General features: G+C 36.0%; 1 protein-coding gene across 11 annotated transcripts in view, besides 2 other annotated features; it reads right to left on the bottom strand.

The window, feature by feature from the left end:
• METTL15 (methyltransferase 15, mitochondrial 12S rRNA N4-cytidine) overlaps positions 1–27422 on the bottom strand; it is a 424088-nt gene that overhangs the window by 212146 nt on the left and 184520 nt on the right. For 8 of the 11 annotated variants that reach the window (XR_007062458.1, XR_930849.3, NM_152636.3 and 5 more), the window contains one exon: positions 23399–23577. The exons of 1 other annotated variant lie outside the window; for it this stretch is intronic. Coding sequence is in view for 8 of the 10 variants with exons in the window: in NM_152636.3 (NP_689849.2) it covers positions 23399–23577 (179 nt within the window). In the remaining 2 variants the exon portion in view is untranslated. The remainder of the gene's footprint in view (positions 1–23398; positions 23578–27422) is intronic. 2 more of the 11 variants (NM_001297775.2, XM_011519941.3) reach the window with 1 other exon arrangement.
• Positions 23764–23813: a silencer, noted in NCBI's record as "silent region_3212". NCBI's record gives its function as "represses an Ori minimal core promoter by ATAC-STARR-seq in GM12878 lymphoblastoid cells {active_cell/tissue: GM12878}" and the evidence as "EXISTENCE:reporter gene assay evidence [ECO:0000049][PMID:35858748]".
• Positions 26945–27137: a silencer, noted in NCBI's record as "fragment chr11:28314740-28314932 (GRCh37/hg19 assembly coordinates)". NCBI's record gives its function as "represses an EF-1alpha promoter that drives an FKBP-Casp9 reporter gene in an ReSE screen in HepG2 liver carcinoma cells {active_cell/tissue: HepG2}" and the evidence as "EXISTENCE:reporter gene assay evidence [ECO:0000049][PMID:32094911]".

Raw genomic sequence — 27422 nt, 5'->3', positions numbered from 1 at the left:
CCTACCTTGGCTGCCCAAAGTGCTGTGATTATAGCCGTTAACCACCATGCCTTACTTTTTAAGCACGGCTCTACAAGGCTAAAATATATTGGAGTGATTTTAAACCACCCCCTTTGTTTTCACAGCTCAAAAAAAAAAAAAAAAAAAACTATTTATTTAGTCTATCAACTGAATTGCATCTGAGGTTACCAGAAATTGTATAGACTAAAAAAATTTATTACCCACAATGTACTAAACACTGGGGATTAAAACATTTCTGAATACATAGTCCTTGCTCTCATGAAATTCAAACCTAATGAAAAGAATGATACTTAAATATTGTGATTAAGTGCTATAAAGAAGAATTATACATGCTCATATGAGAGTGAAGAAGAAAGACAGAAGAACATTGACTCTGTATCGCACAGCATTTTCCAAACTTCAGTCCACAACCAAACACCAATGTATCTGTTGTCAAGTAAGTCTGGGAAATGCAACATGCTACACTCCTTTTTCCAGGATTCACAATGCCCATTAACATGGTAAAGCTCTTAAGATAACTGTATAACTTTGTTTACCCACAATTTCCCAACTTTTTGATAAGAAACTGTTTTAATTTTAATAACCATTCCACAGTATTTATTTTCTGGATAACACACTTGGGAAAATACCAGAGGTAGATTTTGTTTTAATCATGTTCCACATATTTAATTCTTACAAAAATTCTGAGAAGTATGAAATAGATGTTCTAATTTTCGTTCAAAGGTACCAAACTGAGGGGTTAAATGTCTCTTCTCAAGTTCACAGGGATTGTAAGTAGTCTTATTTGACTAGTTCATCTCAGATACATTCTAGGAAGTCTAGATCAGTATGAGTTTTCTCAAAAAAAAAACAACACCTTATTTTATTATATATATGTGTGTATTTTTTCAGTGTCCTAAGAATGTTGTTGAGCTTCTTTCCGTTTCTGGGTGCTCAAAACAAAGCAACAATTTTAAGATGATATGTTCACCAAGCCATCTCATCTTTTTCCTGATCAGAATTTAAGGAAGTCAAGATGAGATCACATGGCTTAGAGTGATTTCCAGAAGCTCTAATTCCACGTCTGCTATTTTATACAACGATCTCATTTTCTGGGAGAAAATGAGTGTGGAATCTTTAAACCTGAATAGGCTTTTACTGAGAGATGTTTTAATGGAAGCCAAATCACTATGCATCGAGTTGCAAGAGTTTGGCTTTCTCCCTACATTTCCCTTGGGGAGATGTGCATTGTCAGGCCTAAAGACAGCACATCTGGTGAAGGCAGCAACTGCTGTGGTCTCTTATCCTGGGAATGATAATGAATACCTTTGGCTTTTGTCCTTTTTGTTCTATTGAAAATAACTTATTGTTAGCTCAGGTTATTGACTGTACATTTGTCTCTTTTTCATCTGCTTTCTTGATAGTGGGTTTAAAAAAGAATCAGTTGCTACTGCTGCCATTGTCAAGATTTTTGGGCAGGTACTGATTACATGTGTTTGATTAAGAATCTAGACTCATCCAATGCAGTATATATGGGCTTTTCTTGACTCACTTACTAGGAAGGGAGCCTTTTACAGTTGTTTTTGTATTTGAAAAATGAGTGCTTAATATTCTCCAGTTAAGCAAGATGAGGAGAACAAGCTTGTATACAAATGTAATAAAAGGCTGAGATGGCTAAAACCTTAGGAAATTAGGCCCAGCTAAAACAATAATTTTTGTTTTATTTAAAGCTTAAGAAATGTTGATAGAGAAAACTAACTTTTAAAATACACTTGTTGTTATACATTTCTTACACAGTATTTTAGCAATGAAAGAATAGTGCTTCTTGTTCTCATTTCTGTGCTTCTGCACATACCGTTCCTTCGGCCTAGAATGCCTCCCTCTTCTTGTACTTTACATCAATTAATACTCACTAATGTGCTGTCTTCTCCAGGCAGTTCTGCAATTTTATATATATATATATAAAATCAAATTATTTACCCCTCTGTACTACTTGTCTACCAACCTCCACTAGGCTGTAAAGGGTCCAGAGATCTTTTCTTACTTTCCTTTACTTCCCCAATCCATTTTAAGGCCTGGTACACAGCAGGTGGCAAAGAAAAAAGTCCTCTCAATAAGGGATACCCTTCCAGTCCCAGATAAAGATCAAGACGTATCATAAACAATATTTGGAATGTGGAAATTCATGAACTCCCTGAAATCTTCATAGGATTTTGCATGTACATGCAATTTTATGCGGAGATGCTCTGCTGCTTCCATCAAATTCTTAAATGAACAAGTGACCCACAGTAGGTAAATTTCTGGTAAACGCAAATTGGGAGTTGGCTGAGTTTTTAGCTTACAACTTACCACTTCTAATGATATCACCCCAAAAAAACTTCTGTATGTATTTAGTTTTGTTTTTCTTTACCTCCAGAAATATTCTACCACTTAGCATCACTGGAAGCATTGATTGAGAACCCTGTTTCATGTATGATATCAGAAGCTGGAAACTCTATCAGTGAATCCTTGGTTTTCTTATGACTCACAAAGAATTTCACATAAAGTAAGAGAAAATCTTGCTTAGTAACAGTCTGCACTACATATAATAATAGAACACAATTTGTATGTGAAAGTAGTAAGATATACTTCATTCATAAAAAGCACCATGCTTCTGGCTAGATAAATGATTTGAAGTCCCAGAGAGAAATTGCAATTTTTAGTTCTGGGATACCCTTATGCTACTTACACTTTTTAAAATTTAATACATTCACGTGTTTAAATGTATTGAGATTTTTAAGCTTGTGAATGAAATTAGCATCGTGCTGTGGCTGTCAACGTGATGCACTGCAATTCCCCCTGAGTGGTAGGGTTTAAATATTAATTCAGCTCTTGCACCTGTTTGCCAGCATTCGGCTGTTGAATTTCCATCACATTTAATAAGTCTCGGTGACGCAACCCATGTCCTTTTGCCTGGGCTCCTTTAATATAGTGTTAAATTCTCACCCATCTGAAATTCAAGTAATATTACAAATTTCAAACTGTTAATTAAAATCTGTGAACTTGAATGGTTCTGGAGAAAATTGGCTTTACTCAGTGAGGTTCTTTTTAAACTTCTTCAGAGTCTCATTTAATCCCCAACTCCTACCAGGTTAAGTCTGATGACAACACGATCTCACTATGGGTGGTTGAGATTTACAAATCCTCATACAATAGGGAAAAAAAATAAAGTTATAAGTTTGAACAAAAAGGTAATGAGGAACATTAACTGCTGAAATGAAATAAGAAACATGGCCCAGAATTAAAGGAAAGAACTGAAATTTTTCATAACTATTTTTCAATAAAACTAATTCTATACTACTGTATTAGTCCATTTTCACGCTGCTGATAAAGACGTACCCGAGTCTGCACAATTTACAAAAGCAAAAGGTTTAATTGGACTTACAGTTCCACTTGGCTGAGGAAGCTTCACAATCATGGTGGAAGGCAAGAAGGAGTAAGTCACGTCTTACATGCATTGCAGCAGGCAAAATGAGAGCTCGTGCAGGGCAATTCTTGTTTTATAAAACCATCAGATCTCATGAGATCCACTCACTATCAGGAGAACAAACGGGAAAGACCCACCCCCATAATTCAGTCATCTTCCACCAGGTCCTTCCCACAACACATTGAATTATGTGAGTTATTAAATGAGATTTGGGTGGGGACACAGAGCCAAACCATGTCATTCCACCCTGGCCCCTCCCAAATATCCTATCTTCACATTTCAAAACCAATCATGCCTTCCCAACAGTCCCCCAAACTCTTAACTTATTTCAGCAGTAACTCAAAAGTCTGCAGTCCAATGTCTCATCTGAGACAAGGCAAGTTAAGTCCCTTCTGTTTATGAGACTGTAAAATCAAAAGCAAGTTAGTTATTTCCTAGTTGCAATGGGAGTATAGGCAATAGGTAAATACAGCAATTCCAAATGGAAGAAATTGGCCTAAACAAACGGGCTACAGGCCCCATGAAAATCCGAAATCCAGTAGGGCAGTCAAATGTTAAAGCTCCAAAATGATCTCCTTTGAATCCACGTCTCACATCCAGGTCACACTGATGCAAGAGGTGGGTTCTCATGGTCTTTGGCAGCTCCACTCCTGTGGCTTTGCAGGGTATAGCCCTGCTCCTGGCTGCTTTCACAGGCTACTGCTGAGCATCTGTGGGTTTTCAAGGTGCATGATGCAAGCTGTTGGGTGGATCTACCATTCTGCGGTCTGGAGGATGGTGGCCCTCTTCTCAAAGCTGAACTAAGTGGTGCCTCAGTGGGAACTCTGTGTGGGGGTCCCACATTTCTCTGCCACACTGCTCTAGCAGACGTTCTCCATGAGGGCCCAAGCCCTGCAGCAAACATCTGCCTGGGCATGCAGGTGTTTCCATACATCTTCTGAAATCTAGGCAGAGGTTCCCAAACCCCAATTCTTGACTTCTGTGCACCCACAGGCTCAACACCACATAGAAGCTGCCAAAGCTTGGGACTTCCACCCCCTGAAGCAACAGCCTGAGCTGTAACTTGGCCTCTTTCAGCCATGGCTAGAGTGGCTGGAACGCAGGGTACCAAGTCCCTAGGCTGCACAGAACAGGGGGGCCTTGGGCCTGGCCCATGAATCCATCTTTTCCTCCTAGGCTTCTAGGCCAGTGATGGAAGGGGCTGCTGTGAAGACCTCTGACATGCCCTGGAGACATTTTCCCCATTGTCTTGGGGATTGGCTTCTCCTTACTTATGCAAATTTCTGCAGTCAGCTTGGATTTCTCCTCAGAAAATGGGATTTCTTTTCTATCACATTGTCAGGCTGCAAATTATCCAAACTTTTATGCTCTGCTTCTCTTATAAAACTGAATGCCTTTAACAGCACCCAAGCCACCTCTTGAATGCTTTGCTGCTTAGAAATTTCTTCCCCCAGGTACGCTAAATCATCTCTCTCAAGTTTGAAGTTCCACAAATCTCTAGGACAGGGGCAAAACGCTGCCAGTCTCTTTGCTAAATCATAACAGAGTCACCTTTGCTCCAGTTCCCAACAAGTTCCTCATTTCCAACTGAGACCACATTGGCCTGGACTTTATTATCCATATCTCAATCAGCGTTTTGGGCAAAGCCATTCAGCAAGGCTCTAGGAAGTTCCAAACTTTCCCACATTTTCCTGTCTTCTTCTGAGCTCTCCAAACTGTTCCAACCTCTGCCTGTTTACCTAGTTCCAAAGTTGCTTCCACATTTTTGGGTATCTTTTCAGCAATGCCCCAATCCCAGTACCAATTTATTGTATTAGTCCATTTTCATGCTGCAGATAAAGGCATACCTGAGACTGGGCCAATTACAGAAGAAAGAGGTTTAATTGGACTTACAGTTCCACATGGCTGCGGAAGCCTCACAATCATAGTAGAAGGCAATGAGGAGCAAGTCACATTTTACATGGATTGCAGCAGGCAAAATGAGAGCTTGTGCAGGGCATCTCCCGTTTTTTAAAACCATCAGATCTTGTGAGACCCATTCACTATCAGGAGAACAGCATGGAAAAGACCTGCCCCCATAATTCAATCATCTCCCACTGGGTTCCCTCCCACAATACATGGGAATTATGGGACCTACAAGATGAGATTTGAGTGGGGACACAGAGCCAAACCATACCAACTACCTATGTCTTCATTTGCTCAGCATAGATGGGATACCTGAAATTGAATCATGATTCCCATTACCTATTTAGGTGGTCACCTTTATATTTAATTACTGGATATTTCACGAGTGATTGAGGCCCATTTGCCACATACAGAAGTCTAAGCAGGAGGTTCTAGCATATTTGAGACCCATTACAAAATACTTTATTTGAACCCTTTATGAATATTCTACAGGGCATGCATTATTGATCCCAGAATTGGGCCATATGCACTTCCCAGAGTTGGAAGATGGTAACACACAGATGATTAACAGTGCTGCCTTTTTCTTGAGATCAGCACATACTCATAATCAATCCTTGCACTCGAAGATAAAGTTGCATGCCTTCCTGTAGCATACTTACCTGCAATAGAACACTTCTCAACTGTATTACAAATGTTCTTCAAAAAATATTTATCTTTCCTACTGACATATAAGCTTCCAGAAGGTAGAGGTCATGTGTTTTCATCATTTTTCTCAAAACAGGCTTGTTGAAAGACCAACAGACTGACTGAATTAAAGATTACATATACAATTCTCTGATGTCCAATAGCAAATGGATTTTAATTAAATCATAAATTATAGATATCTTTTTTCACTCACATCCAAATTCAATACTGAACTTCCTCCTCCAACTTTTATTTTCCTACCTGCTCTATACCACTAAATTGCTGTAGAAATAGTGCCCAGTAAAGGCTTTTGGTTTCTAGAAGGACATGTATACATTTTGAAAAGCATGTTTCAAGGGCTAAAGGCATATATGTGCTATTAATCTCACTTTGAGACTTTAGCTTAGAAAATATCCACCTTCCAAAAAAAATCCCTTAAATATGCCCAAATTATTTATTATATAGCTTTTAATAATAGCTCCCACTTGGAGGCCAACTATCTAATGATAAGTAAGTTAATAAATTATGGTATCTCTACTGATATCTAGTATATTGGCATAAAATTTAAGTAATATAATAAAATAGTAAGTAAAAAAATCCAAAACTATATACATCCAATCACTCCAACACAACAAATGTGAGAATAAATAAAGAGATAAAATTAACATGCGATAGCATATTTATGTTATAGTTGTACAATGGTATTACAGGTTTTTAAGTTTTTTTTAATTTCCTAACAATTTTCCATGACATATAAACAAAGATACTTTTATAATAGAAAAATAAAAATCCTGTACTTTATAAACTTGAATTTTAATTACTGAATCATAAATTCATTAATCATTGATTATTAATAATGAATTCATATTTATGAATTCATGATCTTTATGATTATGAATTCATGATCTCAATGATCATGAGTTTTAATTATTTTTGCATGTGTTTGTGATGTAGATTTTATCAACAATTAGACAAGGTAAATTCTTATATTGTTTTTCTTTTGTCAAGTACCTATCATGTGCCCAGAACTAGCATAGGTAGTTTTAAAAGGTAATTTCTAATCATTACAATAATCTTATAAATTAGAAACCATTATCCTATTTTAGAGAGGCTTAGAATAGTCATGTCATTTGTTCAAGTTCACAAAGCTAGTAAATGGTAGAGATGGAATCTGAACCTAGGTTTTTGTATAACTCCAAAACTAACTTATTTTTCTATTACTCAGTGATACAATAGAAAACAGAGACATGAACTCTGACTAATAATACGAGAGTGACAGGGCTTAAAAAGAAAGAAAAAAAAAAAACAAGTCCTATGGTGGGAATGTGTTCCCCAAAGTTCATGTGTTGAAACTTAATGCCCAATGTTAACAGTATTGAGAGATGAAACCTTTAAGAGATGATCAGGTCATGAGACTGTCCTCATGAATGCTACCATCTCAGGAGTGGGTTAGTTTTTGAGGAAGTGAACTCCTGAGAAGAGGATGAGTTGGGCCCCCTTTCCTCTCCTGCATGCATGCTCTTTTGACCTTCTGCCTTTCTGCCATGAGATGACATAGCGAGAAGGCACTCACTAGATGCTGCTCTTTGATTTTGGACTTCTCAGCCTCCAGAACCATGAACCAAATACATTTCTGTTGATTATAAATTATCCAGCATCAGGTATTCTGTTATAGCAGCACAAAATTGACTAACACAACAAGAAAAAAAGAACAAAGAAATAAAACAATACAGCATATTGGCTTGGTAGTTTGATGGAAAAGTCCATTTTTCATCAAAGGAGTATACAGACGAAGTCAACAACTTTTATGTCCTACTTGGTAGATTATCATTCACAGCTACAACTTCTGAGATAGACAGCTGAAGCCCAAAGGGCTCTAGACTAATGTTTTCCAGGAGACTATGCATAACTGTCAACATTTTTTCTTCTTTTTAGGAAGCAAATGTAGTAGCTTCAATATCATTGTTATATATATGCTGTCTCTAAAACAGTTTAATGAATAACAATAATTGGGCAACAGAAATCTCCATTCAACAATCATAACTTAAATTATAATTAATAATAAAACACATTATCTTGTCAAATTCCAAGCTTACAGCTTATTATGTGAGGTCTAACATGTCACCTGGCTAATGAGCTACTGGTGTACCTGAAATGAGTTGGCCGCCTATCCTAAGAGTTCTTCAATGTGATGAAGAAAAGGGTGGGGAGGATAAAGTAGCAGCTGGGAATAACAACTTCAACAAAAAAAAGGAATGCTTTCCTCTGTCTCAGCTTTCTTACATTGCTTCTTAAGCTTTAGGTTCCCAGTCCCTTGACTGCCACTGATATCTCTACCTGCTGACATCTTAGCCATCCCTTCAAAGAGCAATGTAGCTGCTACTGGTATAGGAAGTCTGTCTTTTCTGATGAATCCATTAATGAAATTTGTATAGCACTGTCCAACTCACTCAATTACCCACTAACTCACTCATACTTACGTTTCATTCAACAAAGGTTAAAAATAAACATATCTCTAGACATCTAAAATATGTTATCTGATTTAGTTATCCAAGAATCATTTGAGGTAGCTATTACTACCCATATTTTGCAGATGAAGAAATAGATTCAGAGAAGATAAATTTACAAAGCTAGTAAATTACAGAGTCAGCTCAAATCTATGTGACTCAACCATTCTTGCTTTTTTAGGGCAGTCTATTGATTCCTTTAACACATGTTCTAAGAGATGTAAAGTATTCAAGTAAATTACATATGGTTGCTCTATCCTTGAAGAGCTCACACAGTTCATAAGGTAGACAAAGTATAATGAAGCAAATGCTAGTTAGGCATATGAACACATAATGAAAAAGTAAGCAACTTCAGGAGGATGGCAAGAAGGAAACGTTCAGGGCACGATCTAAAGTAATAATATATGAACTGAATCTTGAAAGTGAGTATGAATTTCTCACAGGAATTTCTCCCTGTACTACTTGTTCATGACATTTCCAAAATTGATAATTACACATTTATTTGAATGATTTGAATATTTATTGCCTGTTTCTCTCACTGAGAAAGAGAAAGGATTAAATAACTTTCCAAAGTCACATAACCATTAAGTAGCAAAACAATGATTTAATTGCTGCTCTTTCTGACTGTATAAAGCCTGCCATGCCACATTGCCAAGAGGAAGATAAAAGATGAACAAACTGCTGTGCTAGTTTAAATCAAAGACCATGCCCAACTTGGGAAATAATGGATGGAATCTCTCTTCCTCTCTCTCTCTCTCTCTCTCACACACACACACACACACACACACACACACACACACACCCACCACCACCACCACCACCACCACCACCACCACCACCACCACCACCACCAGCAGCAGCAGCAGCAGCAGCAGCAGCAGCAGCAGCATTTAAGCTAGGTCTTAAAGATGAAAATATTTCAACTGGTGGAGACGGAAAGAGATTTTTTTCCAGGTGGAAGATATATCACAATCAAAGATACATGAAATACAATGTAAGACATGTTTAGGGGAAACGGACAGAACAGTTAAGCCAGAATGTAGAATAAAATCAGAAAATATGAAAAAAGAATAGCTCAGACTAGAAAATAGGCCTTCAAAAATCAAGCTCAGGAGTCTGGGATCAAATGTATCCGTAACTGGAGTCACTGCATGTTTTGAGCAAGTAAATGATGTAATTAGTAAAGCTGTGATATCTTAGGGAATTGGTTGGATATTAAGGAATGGAATAAAGCCCATTCATTAAGATTCTAAAAAATTATTAAAAGGAGGTATAGGAATCACAGAAAGCCAACTGCAGGAAATATTACTAGGCCTTTAGGGAATTGAGAAGCAATCAGACAAGCATTCTTTGCACGCCTGGGTTTGGTTATATATTCATGGGTGCGTGCGTGTGTGTGTGTGTGTGTGTGTGTGTACCTCTGAACATTTCCTCCATTTTCTAGACATTCATTCTTTCCTCAAACTAATTGCCTTCATTCTGCTCTTGGTTCCCAGTTTTCCTAACTCTGACTTTCCCCTTGCTTTGGATTGACAATGAGGCAATTCTGTCCCCAAATCTATATTTCCAGTACCATCTACTTATAGTTTCTAAGTTTCCTGGCTCACATTTTGAGAGAAGTATTTAATTTACATGACTCTCCAATTAGTTGCTTCTGGAGTAAAGTGGTATAAACATAGGTGCCTAGGTTTCTTTACCAGGTGTCAGTAGTTGATGGGGGGGTCTATTAAATTCAATGGGAAGAAGATATGGGTTGGGTAGAAACTCCAAAATATGTGTAATGCAGATGGATCTGAGTGGAAAAAGTAGACGTGGGTAGGCCTCTAAGAAGTCTATTGTAATAGTCTAAATAACAGATGAACAATGGTAATGGTGGATATTTACAAGAGATGACTGAATTAAGAGCCACCATCAGGACAGAATTTAAGTGATCAAATGAAAAATTGTGTGTGGGGGGCACAGAAAAAAATGACCCAGGGATATCTCTGAAGTTTCCATCCCAGAGACTAGGAAAATGCTGTTGTAGCATCATAAAACGCAGGAGATTGAATGGTCTAATAATACACTTACCCCTTACAAGAAAGAAAATAAACGAGAACCAGAGAGAAAAAGTTATTTGTCTTGAGTAACAGTCAATTATTGGCAAAAGAGAAATCAGACTTAGGGAAACTGGACTTGGCTAGAGGATGGTGATAAAAATCTGGACCATGGGTTGCGGGGTATGCTCCAAGATCCCCAAAGCAATGCAAAAGAATACTACTCAATGGTAATAATTAAAAATGCAAAGTGAAAGGTACCCATGTTAGTAAAGATGAAAGGTAATAGGATTAGGCACTAAATAGTAAGAGATGAAGTAGAAGTTGGTTAGGACTAGAGTTAGTCACAGTTGGGCAGGTATAGACCAAGAGAAAAAACAAGTTAGCTGGGAACCAAGAACAGTTTAAAGAGGAGGTTTGTCAGTCAACAGTGGTGGGGTGTCAAAAGTGAGATTTGTGACGAGTCAAAAGCGAGATTTGTGTGATCAGCCAGGTAGTTGGCAGCAACCAAATGGAAGCCAGATATTACTGTAAGGACAACAACGCCAGGAAGAGAAGACGATTTTGGTGGAGAAGATAATGAAAATTTCAACATTATACATTTTGAGATTAAAGTATTGACATGAAATTTCGGCAGACATACAGAGCAGGCCACTACAAATGAGGGAGTACAGCTTGGAAACATAAGTCTGAGCCAGAGCCATCTATCTATGTATCTATTGATCTACCTACGATCAATCTATCTATTGGTTGATTGATAGAATGGCTATCCATCTTGCCATCCATGCCTGCCTGCCTATCTATCTATCTATCTATCTATCTATCTATCTATCTATCTACCTACCTACCTATCTATCTAATCTTTCTTTCTATCTGATGAACCTGCTAAGGGGAGACACTTTAGTGATGAAGAAGTTTCAATGCAGCCTCACATATGGTAAACAGTGGGGAAAGAGAGTGGTTTCTTGCCCCTGGAGATTTGGGGAAACTAAACGTTATCATGCTTTGGTGATATACCATAATAACTGTCATTAAAAAAGCCCTGTCAACAAAAAATTACTAAAAAAGACAAATTATAGGGTGCATCCGGCTCATATAAGATAACTGAATGATTTTAAAGGAGAATAAGAAACTTATAATCAGTTATAGCTAATTTCAAGAACTATCTGTTCTTTGAAGCACTACATAAACAATTACAATCCTGGGAGGAGTCTATTCTATGAGTGGAACTGTGTCAATTAAAAAAATTAACAAATGGGTTACACAGCAGATTAGATATACCTTAAGAGTGAACCAGTACAGTATCTTACCTAGATTATAACACAGAGATAGAAAGACGTGGGAAATACAAGAAACTAAGTGTTGCAAAGGAGTAGAGAGAATGGGAGGAAAAAAGTATGGCTAGAAATAAAGTCTGATATTTTCAGGAATATAGAAATATTAAAGAAGCTCATTCTGTTTCACGAAGGACAAATAAAAACAAAGTCACAACCAAGCACATCACAATTAAATATGAATGACAGAAAAATCTTAAAGGTAATCAGAGAAACAGAAAGAATAACTATAAAATAAAGACAAGCAGACTTTTCATTAGCCATAATAGATGTCAAAAGATAATGAAATGATATCTGCAAAGTACTAAGTGAAAATAATCATAAACCTATCAACTCTACACCCAACTAAGCATCATTCAAAAGCGAGAACAAAACAAAAATACAGTTAGACAAATGTAGCAACATACTCTCATAATTTGTCTGTGTCTTTATCTTCATCGAAGATATCTTAAAATATGTACTTGGGTAGGAGGAAAATTAATCCCAGAAATTAATGGGATTCATGAAAATATTATAAGAAATCAGTAAAAATATATATGTAGCCAAATAAATACTATGACATCTGCTATGTAACTAGGAAAGATCATTTTTTGTTAATTCTTAGAAAGTAAAACCTTTGTCTTCATCTTCATCAGTGCCCAGCACAAAGTAGACTTAGAATAAATACCTGATGGTTAAGTCGATACATAATATGTGTATGAAATAGGTGTTTCTAGGTCAAATTCACTACTTTGCTAATGAGAAAACTGAAATTACAGAAGACTGACCCTGTATTTTATGGCATATTTAGCCTGATTTACCATTTAAAAGAATAGGAAAGGTACTACAAGTGCAAAGACAATTATTACATTTTCTCTTATTTTTGTAGGTCTGAGTCTACCTAATAGCAAGTGCCTATATGCTAAAGAAACTAGTTGATTAAAAGGCCTTCTTTACTAGTTGTACCTAGTCAAGCTCATTGTATAAACATCAAAACTATGAACAAAATGGCCATTCATTTATTCATTAAAGAAATATTGATTGAGCATCTATTTTAAGACATAATATATCAAGTTTTGATGATGCACCAATGAAGAAGACACATCTAATCCTTCCCCTCATATAGTCTTGTAGTCCAATTGATAAGAAAGTCATTAAATAAATAATTATGTATTAGGAGAGGTAAGAAGTCAGCAAATATTTCTTGTTGTTTACTGTGTGTTATATGCTATCACACACACAAAAAATGTAAACAGAGGTGATCTATTCTATAGTTTATAATACAGTAGAAGTGATTCTAAGTGATTAGAAATATTTGAGGCAATATACAGTCATCTGAAGATTACAGTGATACAATAAATTAAAATGTTTGGGAAATGATGAAACTTAATATTTCTGACAAAACTGAAGAGTTATAAGAAATATAAAATATATTAAAAGTTAACAAATTCCTATTTTAAAAATTCTAACAAACACATTTCCTAGATATTCCATAATTTTTCAAATTCAGCCACAAAGCAAAAGATACAATATATAAAAATTTGGAAGTATTATTCTTCATTTTTAGTAACAAAGCTTAAACATCAAACATCAAAACTACTCTTTCTTCCATTATTACCCTCTCAGTCCCAAAAATATAATCTTTGATCTTTGTCAATCCATTAAAATTGGGAATTCTCTCTCTTTGACATTCTTTAAAATAACTTGAACATTTTAAACTTTAAAAATGAAAGCATATGCTTGTCTTCAAAGAACATCCTGAAACATACAAATATAATAGCTGATGTGTGACACTACTACTTTAAGGAGTGGAGGTGCATACTGTTGATTCTCTCAATATTTTTGGGTGAAGTAAAGAGAACATGTTATTGTATCTGCCACCTAGACAAGATCTGAATCCATGTAAATATCAAAAACAAGACAGTACAAATAATATGTAAGACTGCCTGATCTAAATTCTGAAATGGATCGTTCAGATAAATATCTGCCACCAAATTCTTAAGGCTTCTGAATAACTAGTTATAGGAACAAATAATCTTTCTTCATTTTTAACAAGTAAAAAGGAGGAAAAGATGGCCTGGTTAGTCATATATATCTTCACAAAATTAATATCAATGTGAAAACTGCTACTATATCAAACATACAATGCCAGCAGGTCACTCTAATTTTCACTTGCAGAAGTACTAAAAGTATAAAATAACAAGAAATGGAGCAATGAGGTAACAGGATGCATTTTCTTTTCTCTTTTTCCCTAGAAGCAGTCTAAAATTCATCCAGAATCAGGAAGATCTAGAGTACGTGGTTACACTAAATTACTGTCCCAAAAATCTGACCCAGCTCAAGGTCACATTTAGGAAAGGGGATTCTAAGATAATGAGGAATTCCAGGAATTTGGAATTATATTAGGTCCTAGAATCGGACTCTGAATTGCCTGTCTTCTACTCTCCTCAGCCCCCTGAAATCCCACCTATTTCTTCATTTATTTGTTCATTCATCTTTTCATGTCTGTAATTCATGAATTTCTATTAGTTGCCAGGAACTCTTCCATAAATAGGCATCACTTCTGCCCCTAAAAGGCCTAACTCAAAGGTCTCCTTGTCTATAACTTCTACTTGACCCTTCTCTTCATTAAGTCTAACCTCTCACTATACAAAAATAAATTTCTCTTTTTTCTGGGTTCTCATACCTTTTTGTTCATGACTCCATTATTTATAGCATTTATCACAAGATACAAAGTGCTGGGAGTATGGGACATCCTTGAAGACTGAGCTGTCAGCATTCTCCAGCAACACTGCTGTACCTTAATCATAAGAAAGGGATCTAGAACAGTGTTATAATCAGGAGCACAGAGTGTAAAATGAGATTACTAGCTTCTAATCCCAGCTCTAGTTGACAAGAGGAAAGTAACCTAATCTTTTTATACTTCAGTTACCTCATCCATAACATGGGGATAAAACCAGTACCAGCCTCATGGGTTGCTGTGAAGATTAAGTGAGTTAATACAAGAAAATGATTTCACATAATACCTAGTATTTGCTCAGTAAGTGTTAGCTAGCATTATTATTTATCATTATTATTATCAATAAATTAGGGTTGGGCTAATTAGTCAGTTGCGACTGGAACATTCCCTGCTCCCCATTTGGTGCCACAAACTGAGAACAGCTAGACTTTTTTAGGAAAAGTTACTCAGGTTTTCTTTCTTTTTTTCCACATTCCATTCCCTTCTGAGTTGGAGTTCATGTACAGAATGTCTTTTGAAAGGATTACTTATTAAAATAAGAAATAAAACATAAGTTTACTTAAAAAATGTCATTTGCTAATTTAGTTGGCATGTCACTATACATACAGTGTGTAATAGATTGAGTTCGAGAAATTTGAAATGACAAAAGAATAAGTGTAATTTTCATAGCAGTGGCAATGACAACTATGATATATTGGGGAGCCATCCAAATTCAACTGTAGGTTTGACCATACCATTTTCCATCAGAGTGAAAACTGAACACTCTAACACTTTTCCTTCCATTTCTTAATCACAGCAATGTTAGTATAAAGAGTATTTTTTGAGAAAAATGAAGGAAGCAACATGTAAGTTATTAAACAATAAAAGGATGTCAAATTATCTTGATCAGGAATAAGTTTATGTTCCAACTAAAAGATAATGACTATTTCTTAATAAATTTTATTATTTTATTTTATTATTTTTGAGACAGAGTTTTACTCTGTCACCCAGGCTGGAGTGCAGTGGCACAATCTCAGCTCACTGTAATCTCCAGCTCCCGGGTTCAAGTGATTCTCATGCCTCAGCCTCCTGAGTAGCTGGGACTGCAGGAATGCACCACCACACCCGGCTAATTTTTGTAGTTTTAGTAGAGTCAGGGTTTCACCATGTTGAACAGGCCAGTTTCGAACTCCTGGACTCAAGATCAGCTTGCTTTGGCCTCCCAAAGTGCTTGCAGTATAGAGTGAGCCACTGCGCCTGGCATAAATTTTATCTTATCATTATCTTTTATTTTGAAGGTTCTCTCTGGATTAACAAAATGATGCTGAAAAAAGATGATGGTTTCAGATACAGGTTGAGGCATGAGCCATTGATGCCACTGTGGAAAGATATACCTTAACATGTCCCAGTGCAGAAAAAGACAATTATTCTTCTCCTTCCTACAAGTCACATAACTCCTAAGGGAAGAACATCTTGGAATGAAGTGATCAATCTATCACAAATCACACTGTTTGGTTATGGACAGGAAAATAGAATTGGAAATGGAAGTCCACACTCAAGAGTTCCAACTACTGCATTCCTTTACTGTCTGAATTACCTTAGCTCTGAATACAGAGGAGAAAAAAAAATGCTTACAAGAATATTTGCACTTTAAATTTCACAGATAATAAATGTCATTTATTAGTCATAGCAAGATTTGTTATTCCTATTTTCCAGATGAGGAAATGAGGGTCAGAGAAGATAAGTGAACTTACTCAAGTTCACAGAACAAATAAGTGGCACAAACAGAAACAAAACTTGAGAATTTTTGATTCCATGTCCTGGAGGGTCTCACTTATTCCTCAAGCTGCTTTAATTTATACTGAAGACTTTGATGCTCAGGTTGTCTCCCTCTTCAACATGACGGAAAAAGTACAGTTTATCCTCAGTAACACCTAAGAACTTATATATTTTTTCCCCTTGAATTTTCATTTTTACTTTGGCTGGGAATGTACGTATCCTTTTATTGATTTATTTGTTCAACAAGCATTCATTAATCTCTGGTTATGTACCCAGTTTATGAGTCAGAATAAAGGTTACACAAAAGTTTCAGGAAAGGAATAAATCTATACATTTAATCAACATGAATCACAAATATCTAAGAAGTTTCTCCCCCTCCTCTCATTCAAATAATTATAAGCCTTCTGTCACCTTTTGATTGTTTAGAGATCAATTATCTATTTTATCAATTATTTTATTTTTATTTAACCTAAATCTCAATGATCTGAAAAGTGACTGGTATACTTCTTTGATTTTTAACATGAGCTCTGAGACTACAAGTGAATTTCAACATTGGTTTAAGCAAAACATAATTGGCATGGTTATGTTTACTAAAGAAAATTAATGATTATTATCATAACTATTATTTGCCTCCAGTTTAAGATGAGAAAGATGAGGTCTAGAATTATTCAAGTTTACACAAACAGCAAGTTGAAGAACCAGGACTTGAACAAAGATGTTTTCATTAAACTAGTTAGCATTTAACTGGTAATTTCCTTGATGTAACCGGAGAATGAAAAGAGCGCTAGAATACGAAAAAGCTCAAATATAAAATATGGGCAGCCAGCCTCTTGAGGAAAATACCCAGATTTCTTTATTCAAAGGGATGTCTAGAATCTATCTCATTTTTAAGACTATGCAAAACATCAATACATCAAATACATCAATTCTGCAAAATCCAGACCATGGCCATTTTTTCAAAATTAAGTGCATAAATTTTCTTTCTTCTGAAGAGCTTGAGAATTTTTATATGTGTCATTCATCATAATGAAGGATTTTTAATTAATAAAAATATTCTATCAAAGCATTATTATTCTTCACAGCATTCTTAAAGAATAAGATGGGAATTAATATCATTTCAACTTACAAAGATGAATAAAGTACTAGAGGGCAATGTAGTTTTCCTAACTTACCTGCATATGTTAGTGTTAATGTTGTGGGGGACGTATTGGTCATTTTCATGCTGCTGATAAAGACATACCCAAGACTGACCAATTTACAAAAGAAAGAGGTTTAATTGGACTTACAGTTCCAAATGGCTGGAGAGGCCTCACAATCATGGCAGAAGGCAAGGAGGAGCAAGTCATCTCTTATGTGGATGGCAGCAAGCAAAGAGAGCTTGTGTTAGGGTCTCAGGTCTCATGAGACCCATTCATTATCATGAGAACAGCACGGGAAAGACCTGTTCCCATGATTCAATCATCTCCCAGTGGGTCCCTCCCACAACACATGGGAATTATGCGAGCTACAAGATGAGGTTTGGATGAAGACACAGAGCCAAACCATTTAAGAGGACATTTGCTTTTTATGACCTACAAGACTGAACATCAATTTTTAAAATTAACGTTGAAGTTATTTTACTGAATCCAAACATTCTAAAAGCAGAGCTTTTCTGATTGAATGTGCACTTTGTTAACTGTATAAATTAACATTGAAAAAGTATTGCCAGGAGCAGTTGCTTACACCTGTAATCCCAGCTACTCAGGAAGCTGAGCCAGGAGGTTGGGGATCGCTTGAAGCCAAGAGTTCGAGACAAGCACGGTCAATATAGTGAGACCTTATTTCTAAAAATAAAAATTAAAAAAATTATCCTGCTGTGATGTTGGGCACCCGTAGTCCCAGCTACTCAGGAGGTTGAGTCAGGAGGACAGCTTGATCCTCACAGCTCACTGCAGCCTTCAACTATGATTGCACCACTGCACTCCAGCCTGGGTGACAGAAGGAGACCCTGTCACTTAAAAAAAGCTTTTTAATAAAAAATTCTAAAAAATGTATTTACTAAATACCTTTCAGGTGTCAAACATTAGGCTAAATGCTATGATACAGTAATTAGTACAAAAGTCACAGCAGGGCTTATAATCTTGATGTTTATAGTCTAGAACAATACTGTCCAAAAAAGATGTAATGTGAAACATGTTATTTAACATTTTTCTATAGCCACATTTAAAAAGCAAAATATTAATTTTAATACCTTATTTGACCTAATATATCTAAAATATTACCATTTCAACATGTAATGAAGATAAAATTATTTTTGTAATATTATAATTTTTTTCAAACTAAGTCTTCAAAATCTGGTGCATATTTTAGATTCATGGCACCTCTTAATGCGGAGTAACTACATTTCAAGTGCTTTATAGCCACATGTGGCTGTTGACAATGGTGTTGCACAATATAAATCTAAGGGAATATTTAAATAGTAAGCAAGCAATAAGATACAGCATAATAAGTGCCAGACAAGGGAATGCAGTGCAATGGTAGCACATAGGAGACCATCTCAACTAATGTGAGTAAAGTTGGAAAAAACTTTGTGAGGAAGTGGCATTTCAACTGAGCTCTAAAGGATGAGCTGAAATTAGCCAGAGAAAAGGGTAGGGGTAGGGCAGGGAGATGAGAGAAGAGGAAGGTCAATATTCCAGGCAGAAGGACATCCAAGGCCTGCAGGTGAATGACTATGGTGTGCTGGAAAGACTATAAGAACTTCAATATGGCTGGAACAAAGACTATTATGTGGAAAGGGGAAGATGAAAAGACAGGTAGGAGCCAGTTCATGGAGGAAGTTGCAAACCATGTAAAGGAGTTTTGCTTTTATTCTAAGAAATCTATCCTTTCTAAAGTCTCTACGCCTGTATTATATTTATGGAACTGGCAACTTCAGGCTGAAATGTGCTCGTCTTCACCGGAATACAATGGGGAGTAGGAGAGATGAAGATGAAGAGGCTAAAGCTAGATGACCATTTATTAGAGGTGATGAAGAATCTAGTTCTAGATTAGATGAGTCCCTTAGGCCATTTTCATCTCTTAGATTTTACAACTCCAACTCTTTAGCTAGAACATTAGAATAAACATTGTTTAACAAAATGTGGACTTGTTATTTATGAATCATTTTTGGAGGGAACACTGTATATAACACTGCATATGTGTTAAATATTTATATTAAGATTCACGGCCAGTAGTTCTGAATAGCATATGTATGAACATGTGTGGTAGTAAGAACAGTGAAATCCTACAGGTTGTTTTTGGAATTCTCTTGTAAGTTGCTTATAAATTACTGCTTTGATAATTTGCAAAGTAATTCACAATGCTTGTAAGTGCTCTGTTCCAACTTGGAGTCTTGAACCTGTCTTTTGGAATTCCCATGATATGGAAGAGTACTGGAACTGTAGTTATTTATACTAGCAAAACGCACCAAACTTTAGATTTTACAATTAACAGCTTAATCACGTGACTTACAGGATCCTACTGAGCGTGTGATTCCAAGTGTGTTGTTCTTCCTTGTCCTACTGAATTATTAGTTTTTGGAAAGCAAAGAAAGTGATTTATATTTCCATCAATATGGATTTTAATATGTGTCTGGAACTGTGCTGCATATTTCCTAGAGTGCTTGATAGTTTTGAACATATTTAGTATGAATTTATCAGAATCAGAAAACACATTTAAATATAGTCATTGCATATTATAGCTTGCCAAAATACATGTTTGTCAAACAAAGATATTGCTTAGGAATTGTACTGGGTTTATAGAGTCCCCCACAATTCATGTCTACGTAGCACAATTCATGTCTACCCAGAACCTATAAATGTGATCTGACCTAGAAATAAGGTCTTTGCAGATATAATCAAGTTAAGATTAGGATATACTGGATTAAGTGTGGGCCCTAAATCCAACATGACTGGTGTCCTTATAAGAAGAGGGAAATCTGGGCACAAAGACAGATGCCCAGGGAGAATGCCAAGTGACTATGGAGGCAGAAACAGTGATATATCGACAAGCCAAGGAACACCAAGGATTGCTGGCAACCGCCAGATGCTAGGAATAGTAAGGAAGGATTCTCCTCTAGCTCCCTTCTAACATCTTGATTTCAGACTTCAAGTCTCCAAAACTGTAAAATAATAAATTTCTGTTGTTTTAAGGCACAAAGTTTGTAGTACTTAGTAGCAGCAGCCCGAGGAAACCCATACAGGAACTTGTGCCCTTCCAATTGTGTCTCATATTTTCTTTATGTAGTACCTCTTGATTTATTGGACTGGACAGATTTAACCCTTTTCTCTGTTAAACAAATTGTGTGAGGGTAGGATTCTATTCTTTGGATTCTCTGGTATTTCTATACAGTTCTAGTCCCATCAAGAGAGCTGTGCACTTACAGCCCAGAATGTTCACTGTTGTTATTACATAATTTAATTACATATTACATAAACTGATGAAATATGAATGCAAAAGGAAAGACAGCTGCAGTTTCCCTGAAAACTAAGTTGGAAACTTTGGAAACTCTTGTTAAAGGTGAATCACTTAAAAAAAATTCAATCAAATTAGGTATGAATGAGGCAATTATAAAAGACTAAAATCATGAAAATCTAGAAAACTTCTCATTCAGATGGCTTTGCAAATGCCTTTAAAGGCTTACTTCATTTTACTAAAACTATAACCAGAACTTATAGGACATATGTCATGGGTGTGGTTTGTTAAGAATCAACTTCATGGAACTGCAATTAAAATGCAAGCATACAAATATATGTATATTTTTATAGGTTCTATAGTTATCTGCTTTTATCAAATTTTCTATTGACCATACTATCATAACTCTTGATCACAATAAATAGGAAAGAGAATTTTCACTGTAAGTAGAGGTTATTATATGATGTTTTCACTCAGTTCCCTGACTGTTTAATCTATTAGTCTATAAACTTTGTAAACACAGAGGTTGTATCTGATTAGCTCCTATTTTACCTTTAGTATTTAGGAAGTAGCTAGTATAAAGCAGCCTCTCTCAAAATATTTTTTGAATAAATGAGCACAAAATGAAAACACATTTTTGTTTTTCCCTTTTCTAAAAATTCATATTATCATTAATAAAGTTGTATTATTATAGACTGATATTTAAGACATAAAAATGGACTAATTCCAGATAACTCAATGTTTCAATGGCATTTACTAAATTGAGGTTTTATTTACCATATATGAATATTTTCACTTTTACTGTATCATTTCTCATAGCTCTAATGTACTTTTCATATCATAATCTTTCTGAAGGTACTTAAATTGTTCCTATTGTACACCTTCACATAATTTCTACTTAATGCCAAAGTGTTATTTCCGCAAGTTTACAAAGTAGGATGCACAGACAGAAAAGGTAGCTTAAAGGCAGATTCCCAATTATGCCTTAAATTCATGAGCTTCTGAATTCTAGATTACTATTGCAAGCTATTGACCCTCCCTGAGCCTCAGTTTCCTTAGTAATCAGATGAGGTTTGCTGACTAGACAATTTTTAGGATGCTCTCTAGCCCCAACACCTCATTTTCAGCACCAATTTTAGATTTGCTTATAAATAAAAAAATATCACTTCTCACTGCTTTTCTTTCCAATATGGGAGACAGATAATAACACATAGCTAAATAATTACAGAAAGGATACGGTGGAGACATGTTAGTGAGTACGGAGTGGTTAAAGGAACACCAGACAGGGGATGACTTTAATGTCGGCATGCTGGTATACACACTTTTTTAGGGGGGAAAATATGAAATATTTTATGTTCATATAACCACAAGAATTCTGCTCTTAAACTTGCCTAAAGAAATCTCAATGGTAAGTTCAAAGGGCCCTGAGATATGTGGCTTAAAAAATTAAAGGCTAGTCAGCTCTTTATATTTCATTATAATAACTAAGTAGAATATAGTCTTATTTAATTATATCATAAAACAATTGCTATGTGATCTCTAAATAGTAATGATCTAAATGAATTTATAATTAAGTTTTACTTCTTAAACTATGGATAATATTAAGAAAGAGACAGCCAATATCAGGTTCTATTTATAAGTTACACAAATATTCCTTTTTTAAAAACTTCTTAAAATTTACTTAAGTAATTTAATAGGAACCACTGAAAAAAAATCTTAATACATTTGGTAAATAAAAATGATACAGGGTTTCAGATGGTTCAACAAGATGAAAATTTTACCATTGGAATTCTGTTAAATAACTGCAAGAGTTATATTTTTGCCTTGGAAAACTTTCATCACGGAACACAGCTGTGAAACAACTTTGGCTTCAAACAGAGAGGCTATAATAAAGCGCCTCCTAGCTAGAGTTAGGTTCAAGAGGTTTATGGTGGTGAATAGCGAAATAGCAGAAAAGATGAAATGTTTCAATAAGCCCCTAAGGCTGATTTAGTTAGCATTCACAAAGTGGAATAACCTATACATCATATACCCTTTGTTAGTTGGTTGTTTAGAACAGATATATGAGTCACTGTATTTTATTTTAGCATTTGGGCAATGCAATTCTCCTTTTGCCCAAAATATTAAAATGCAGAAATGTGAAACTAAGAGAAGTAATGTCAGATCTTATACAGGTGCTTATCAACCACTGCGATGGATCAAGAAATCCTTTTGCTCATCATTCCATGTTTCACCTTGGTAGACACAAATGATAAATTATCCTGTGTAAAATAAAAATCTACTATTATACAAATTAGCAAACTACAGTATATTTTTTTAAAAATTGTATTTGGGGGAGAGGTTTTTTGGGGGAGAAGCATGCAAAAGCAAAAGAAAGCTGACATTAGAGAAGGATAGGCAAGATTCTATCCTGGATTTCAAGTACAAATGAATCCCTCAGGGAGTCTGGGGGATTAATGCACACACACATGTGCATGCGTGCATGCACACAAACACATGCACACATGTAAATATAATTTTTTCTCTTAGACACTGTTGAGAATTAATGAGGCTACCTGCAACGATGCTGGCAAGCTGCTGGGTTCTGGTGATGGGGTAGATGCTGCGTGCCTGAACAATTGCTGAAGCGATTTTCTTGGCATGCTTCTCCTCCCCGTATGTTCTTAGGATAGATGCAAGTGCCTGTTGATCTAAAGCATTCACAACATCAGCAGCAGTGGGCATGTCAGGGTACCTACGCACAAGAAGAGCCAATTAGTTCACTGACATCAGTTCTCATTGACAAGACGTGAAACTTCAGAGTACTGAGACATAAAGTCAGACACACACACATACTCTAGGAGAAGTGAGGTTTTAAAGTCAGAAACTGAAACCTTAAACAAATGAAATAGACTTTCTATTTCAACTACCCATCATTATGGCAAGTGGTGATGGTTTATAACATTCATCAAGGTCAAGGCAGCAGGAAGTCAAAATATACTAACCTTAAACTTTAATTCACAAAGAAATTTTTATTTCCTGTGTATTTTTCTCAAACTAAAACAATGAAAAATGGTTAGATTTAAGTTGTTCAAAATTTAAATTACTGCTTGAATGTTTTTTGCAGTATGGAAGATACAAGGTTTGCTGATGATATTTTAAAAAGTCTAACTCAAGAACTTGACTAAATCTGAGGCTGTAAAATAACTGATTACTTGTGGAGACACAAATTGAACTTAGCAAATCTATAAAAAACATACTGCTGATCAGTTTCCCTCACAAAAACTCATACAACTTTAATGGCAATGATACATATTATTCAAATGTTTAACAATATTTGGTCATTCTTCTGTAACAAAGGACACCATATGGTAAAACCTGGTAATCAATAAGCAGTATTGAACAAGTCTAGATAGTAATTTTAGATGGAGGAGGAATAAAAAATACCAACCTCTGGTCAAATAGAATAAATTATAGTCAGAAACAGCATTTACTCTGTCAGACCATTCCTGTTTACCTTAGGGAAATGGGCCAAAGAATTCTAAGTGATGAGTTAATTATGACTTTACGTATTAGAAAAATAGCTTTGCTAATGGTGCAGTTACTGCTCTTACAGTTAATATGCTGGATTGATTGTTGGTAACAGACTGTGAGGATCTGTAAGTAACAAGGGTATGGTAGCTTTAAGAACTGAGGGTCCAACCAGAGTGGGGTTGCCAACAAACACCTGAAACTCTCCTTAAAAATACTAAAATATACACTGTTAAGCCTAGTGCCTCTAGGAGAAAATCTTTTTGCTGTCTTTGGCTTATCCCCCGATTTGTCATGACTTTCATCTCTCTTGATGTCTCTTTGTCTCTCTTTTTTGTCCAAACCTCGCTTTTCAGATTATTATTTTTTTTTTTTTGAGACGAAGTTTCGCTCTTGTTGCCCAGGCTGGAGTACAAAGGCAAATCTCAGCTCATTGCAACCTCCACCTCCAGGGTTCAAGTGATTCTCCTGCCTCAGCCTCCCGAGTAGCTTACAATAATTGTTTTTATGTCGGACTGCCGTTAAACTCACAGAACAATGAATGTCTTGTAAGGTAGCCCTATTTCTATCTCAGTAGGCTGCCAGCACCTCTTTCAGCTTTCAGGATGAAGATCTGGTCCTTGGAGTTCAATTGATCTGGATTAGAATCCTGGTCCTGCTACTCATACTGAGTAAGACTTTTAACCTATTAGAACCTCAATTTTTAACCTGTGAAATGAAAGTAACAATTCTTAACTCACAGAATGGTTTGGATAATTATTGGTGCACACAATTGTAAAACAGAAATACAATGCCTGGAACATAAAAGATGCTCAATGCATGCCACTGTCCTTTAGATCTTCCCCATTCATAAATTTGCAAGGCATAATTCGTGGCTTAAATGACAAAAATCCCTGCTAAAACTGACCTATTTGTGAATTCAGCTGCTCAAACCACTGAGCATTTGAATGAACTGTGTTAATGATGTGAAATTTAGAAATTTATCCATGGGATACAGTCCAGCTTTACCAAGATAATATTATGACGAGTATGGATGTACTTAGCAGTTTTTAATTATACTTTTCTATGTTAAAATAAGAAAATTAAAAAGTATTTTGTTCAACACATAATTTTACTCTAAATAAATAATTGGACAATACATATAATTTTATTTTACTCTATATTAACAATGATAGAAGTTTCCATAGTGCTACAGTGCAAAAGGTGCAACACTGGAAGGTTTGGCAGGCTGCTAGACAGCTTCAGAATAGGCATTCATGTGGTCAAGGAGTCAAGATCCAAGAGCTGCCCCCCAACTAATAGATTTGATCTTGTCAGTCCTCCAGAGTTCACTGACTTACAGTGACTAAACTTAGAAAATACAGACACAATTAATTACCTTCCAGTGAAGACTATAACTGCCAACAGAACTAGACTCTCAAATTCTTGAAGCTATGAATTTCTTTCTATTGCTTCTACATGAGAAACCTTACTATAATCTGAAAGCTGCTGTTGAAATTGGAATCAGCAGAGAATAAACTATGTTTTAAGACTTTAGTGTTAAATGGCGACTGGTTAAGGAAGTCTCTTGCATCCGTCTTCATCACAGGGATACATCTCCTTTCAGGAATTGACAGGCCACATTTTTTGGCCTGGATTAGCCAAGGCAAACATATACCACTTGGATTAGCATTGCACATGTTTGAATCTATGACTTTTCTTTTTCAATGAATTCATGTGAATCAATTCCCCCTTTTCAAATGTCACACACTTTCTTCAGAGCTGTTGTAAGAGCTATCTATGACAAACCCACAGCCAATATCATACTGAATGGGCAAACCTGGAAGCATTCCCTTTGAAAATTGGCACAAGACAGGGATGCCCTCTCTCACCACTCCTATTCAACATAGTGTTGGAAGTTCTCGTCAGGGCAATTAGGCAGGAGAAGGAAATAAAGGGTATTCATTAGGAAAAGAGGAAGTCAAATTGTCCCTGTTTGCAGATGACATGATTGTATATCTAGAAAACCCCATCGTCTCAGCCCAAAATCTCCTTAAGCTGATAGGCAACTTCAGCAAAGTCTCAGGATATAAAATCAATGTGCAAAAATCACAAGCATTCCTATACACCAATAACAGACAAACAGAGAGCCAAATCATGAGTGAACTCCCATTCACAATTGCTTCAAAGAGAATAAAATACTTAGGAATCCAACTGACAAAGGACGTGAAGAACCTCTTCAAGGAGAACTACAAACCACTGCTCAATGAAATAAAAGAGGATACAAACAAATGGAAGAACATTCCATGCTCATGGGTAGGAAGAATCAATATCGTGAAAATGGCCATACTGCCCAAGGTAATTTATAGATTCAATGCCATCCCCATCAAGCTACCAATGACTTTCTTCACAGAATTGGAAAAAACTACTTTAAAGTTCATATGGAACCAAAAAAGAGCCTGCATCACCAAGTCAATCCTAAGCCACAAGAACAAAGCTGGAGGCATCACGCTACCTGACTTCAAACTATACTACAAGGCTACAGTAACCAAAACAGCATGGTACTGGTACCAAAACAGAGACATAGATCAATGGAACAGAACAGAGCCCTCAGAAATAACGCCGCATATCTACAACTATCTGATCTTTGACAAACCTGACAAAAACAAGAAATGGGGAAAGGATTCCCTGTTTAATAAATGGGGCTGGGAAAACTCGCTAGCCATATGTAGAAAGCTGAAACTGGATCCCTTCCTTACATCTTATACAAAAATTAATTCAAGATGGATTAAAGACTTAAATGTTAGACCTAAAACCATAAAAACCTTAGGAGAAAACCTAGGCAATACCATTCAGGACATAGGCATGGGTAAGGACTTCATGTCTAAAACACCAAAAGCAATGGCAACAAAAGCCAAAATTGACAAATGGGATCTAATTAAACTAAAGAGCTTCTGCACAGCAAAAGAAACTACCATCAGAGTGAACAGGCAACCTACAGAATGGCAGAAAATTTTTGCAACCTACTCATCTGACAAAGGGCTAATATCCAGAATCTACAATGAACTCCAACAAATTTACAAGAAAAAA

This window comes from Homo sapiens, chromosome 11 (assembly GCF_000001405.40).
Source record: "Homo sapiens chromosome 11, GRCh38.p14 Primary Assembly".
NCBI lineage: Eukaryota > Metazoa > Chordata > Mammalia > Primates > Hominidae > Homo > Homo sapiens.
Note: the sequence above shows the minus strand (reverse complement) of the source record. Positions and strands in the feature narration are given on the sequence as shown.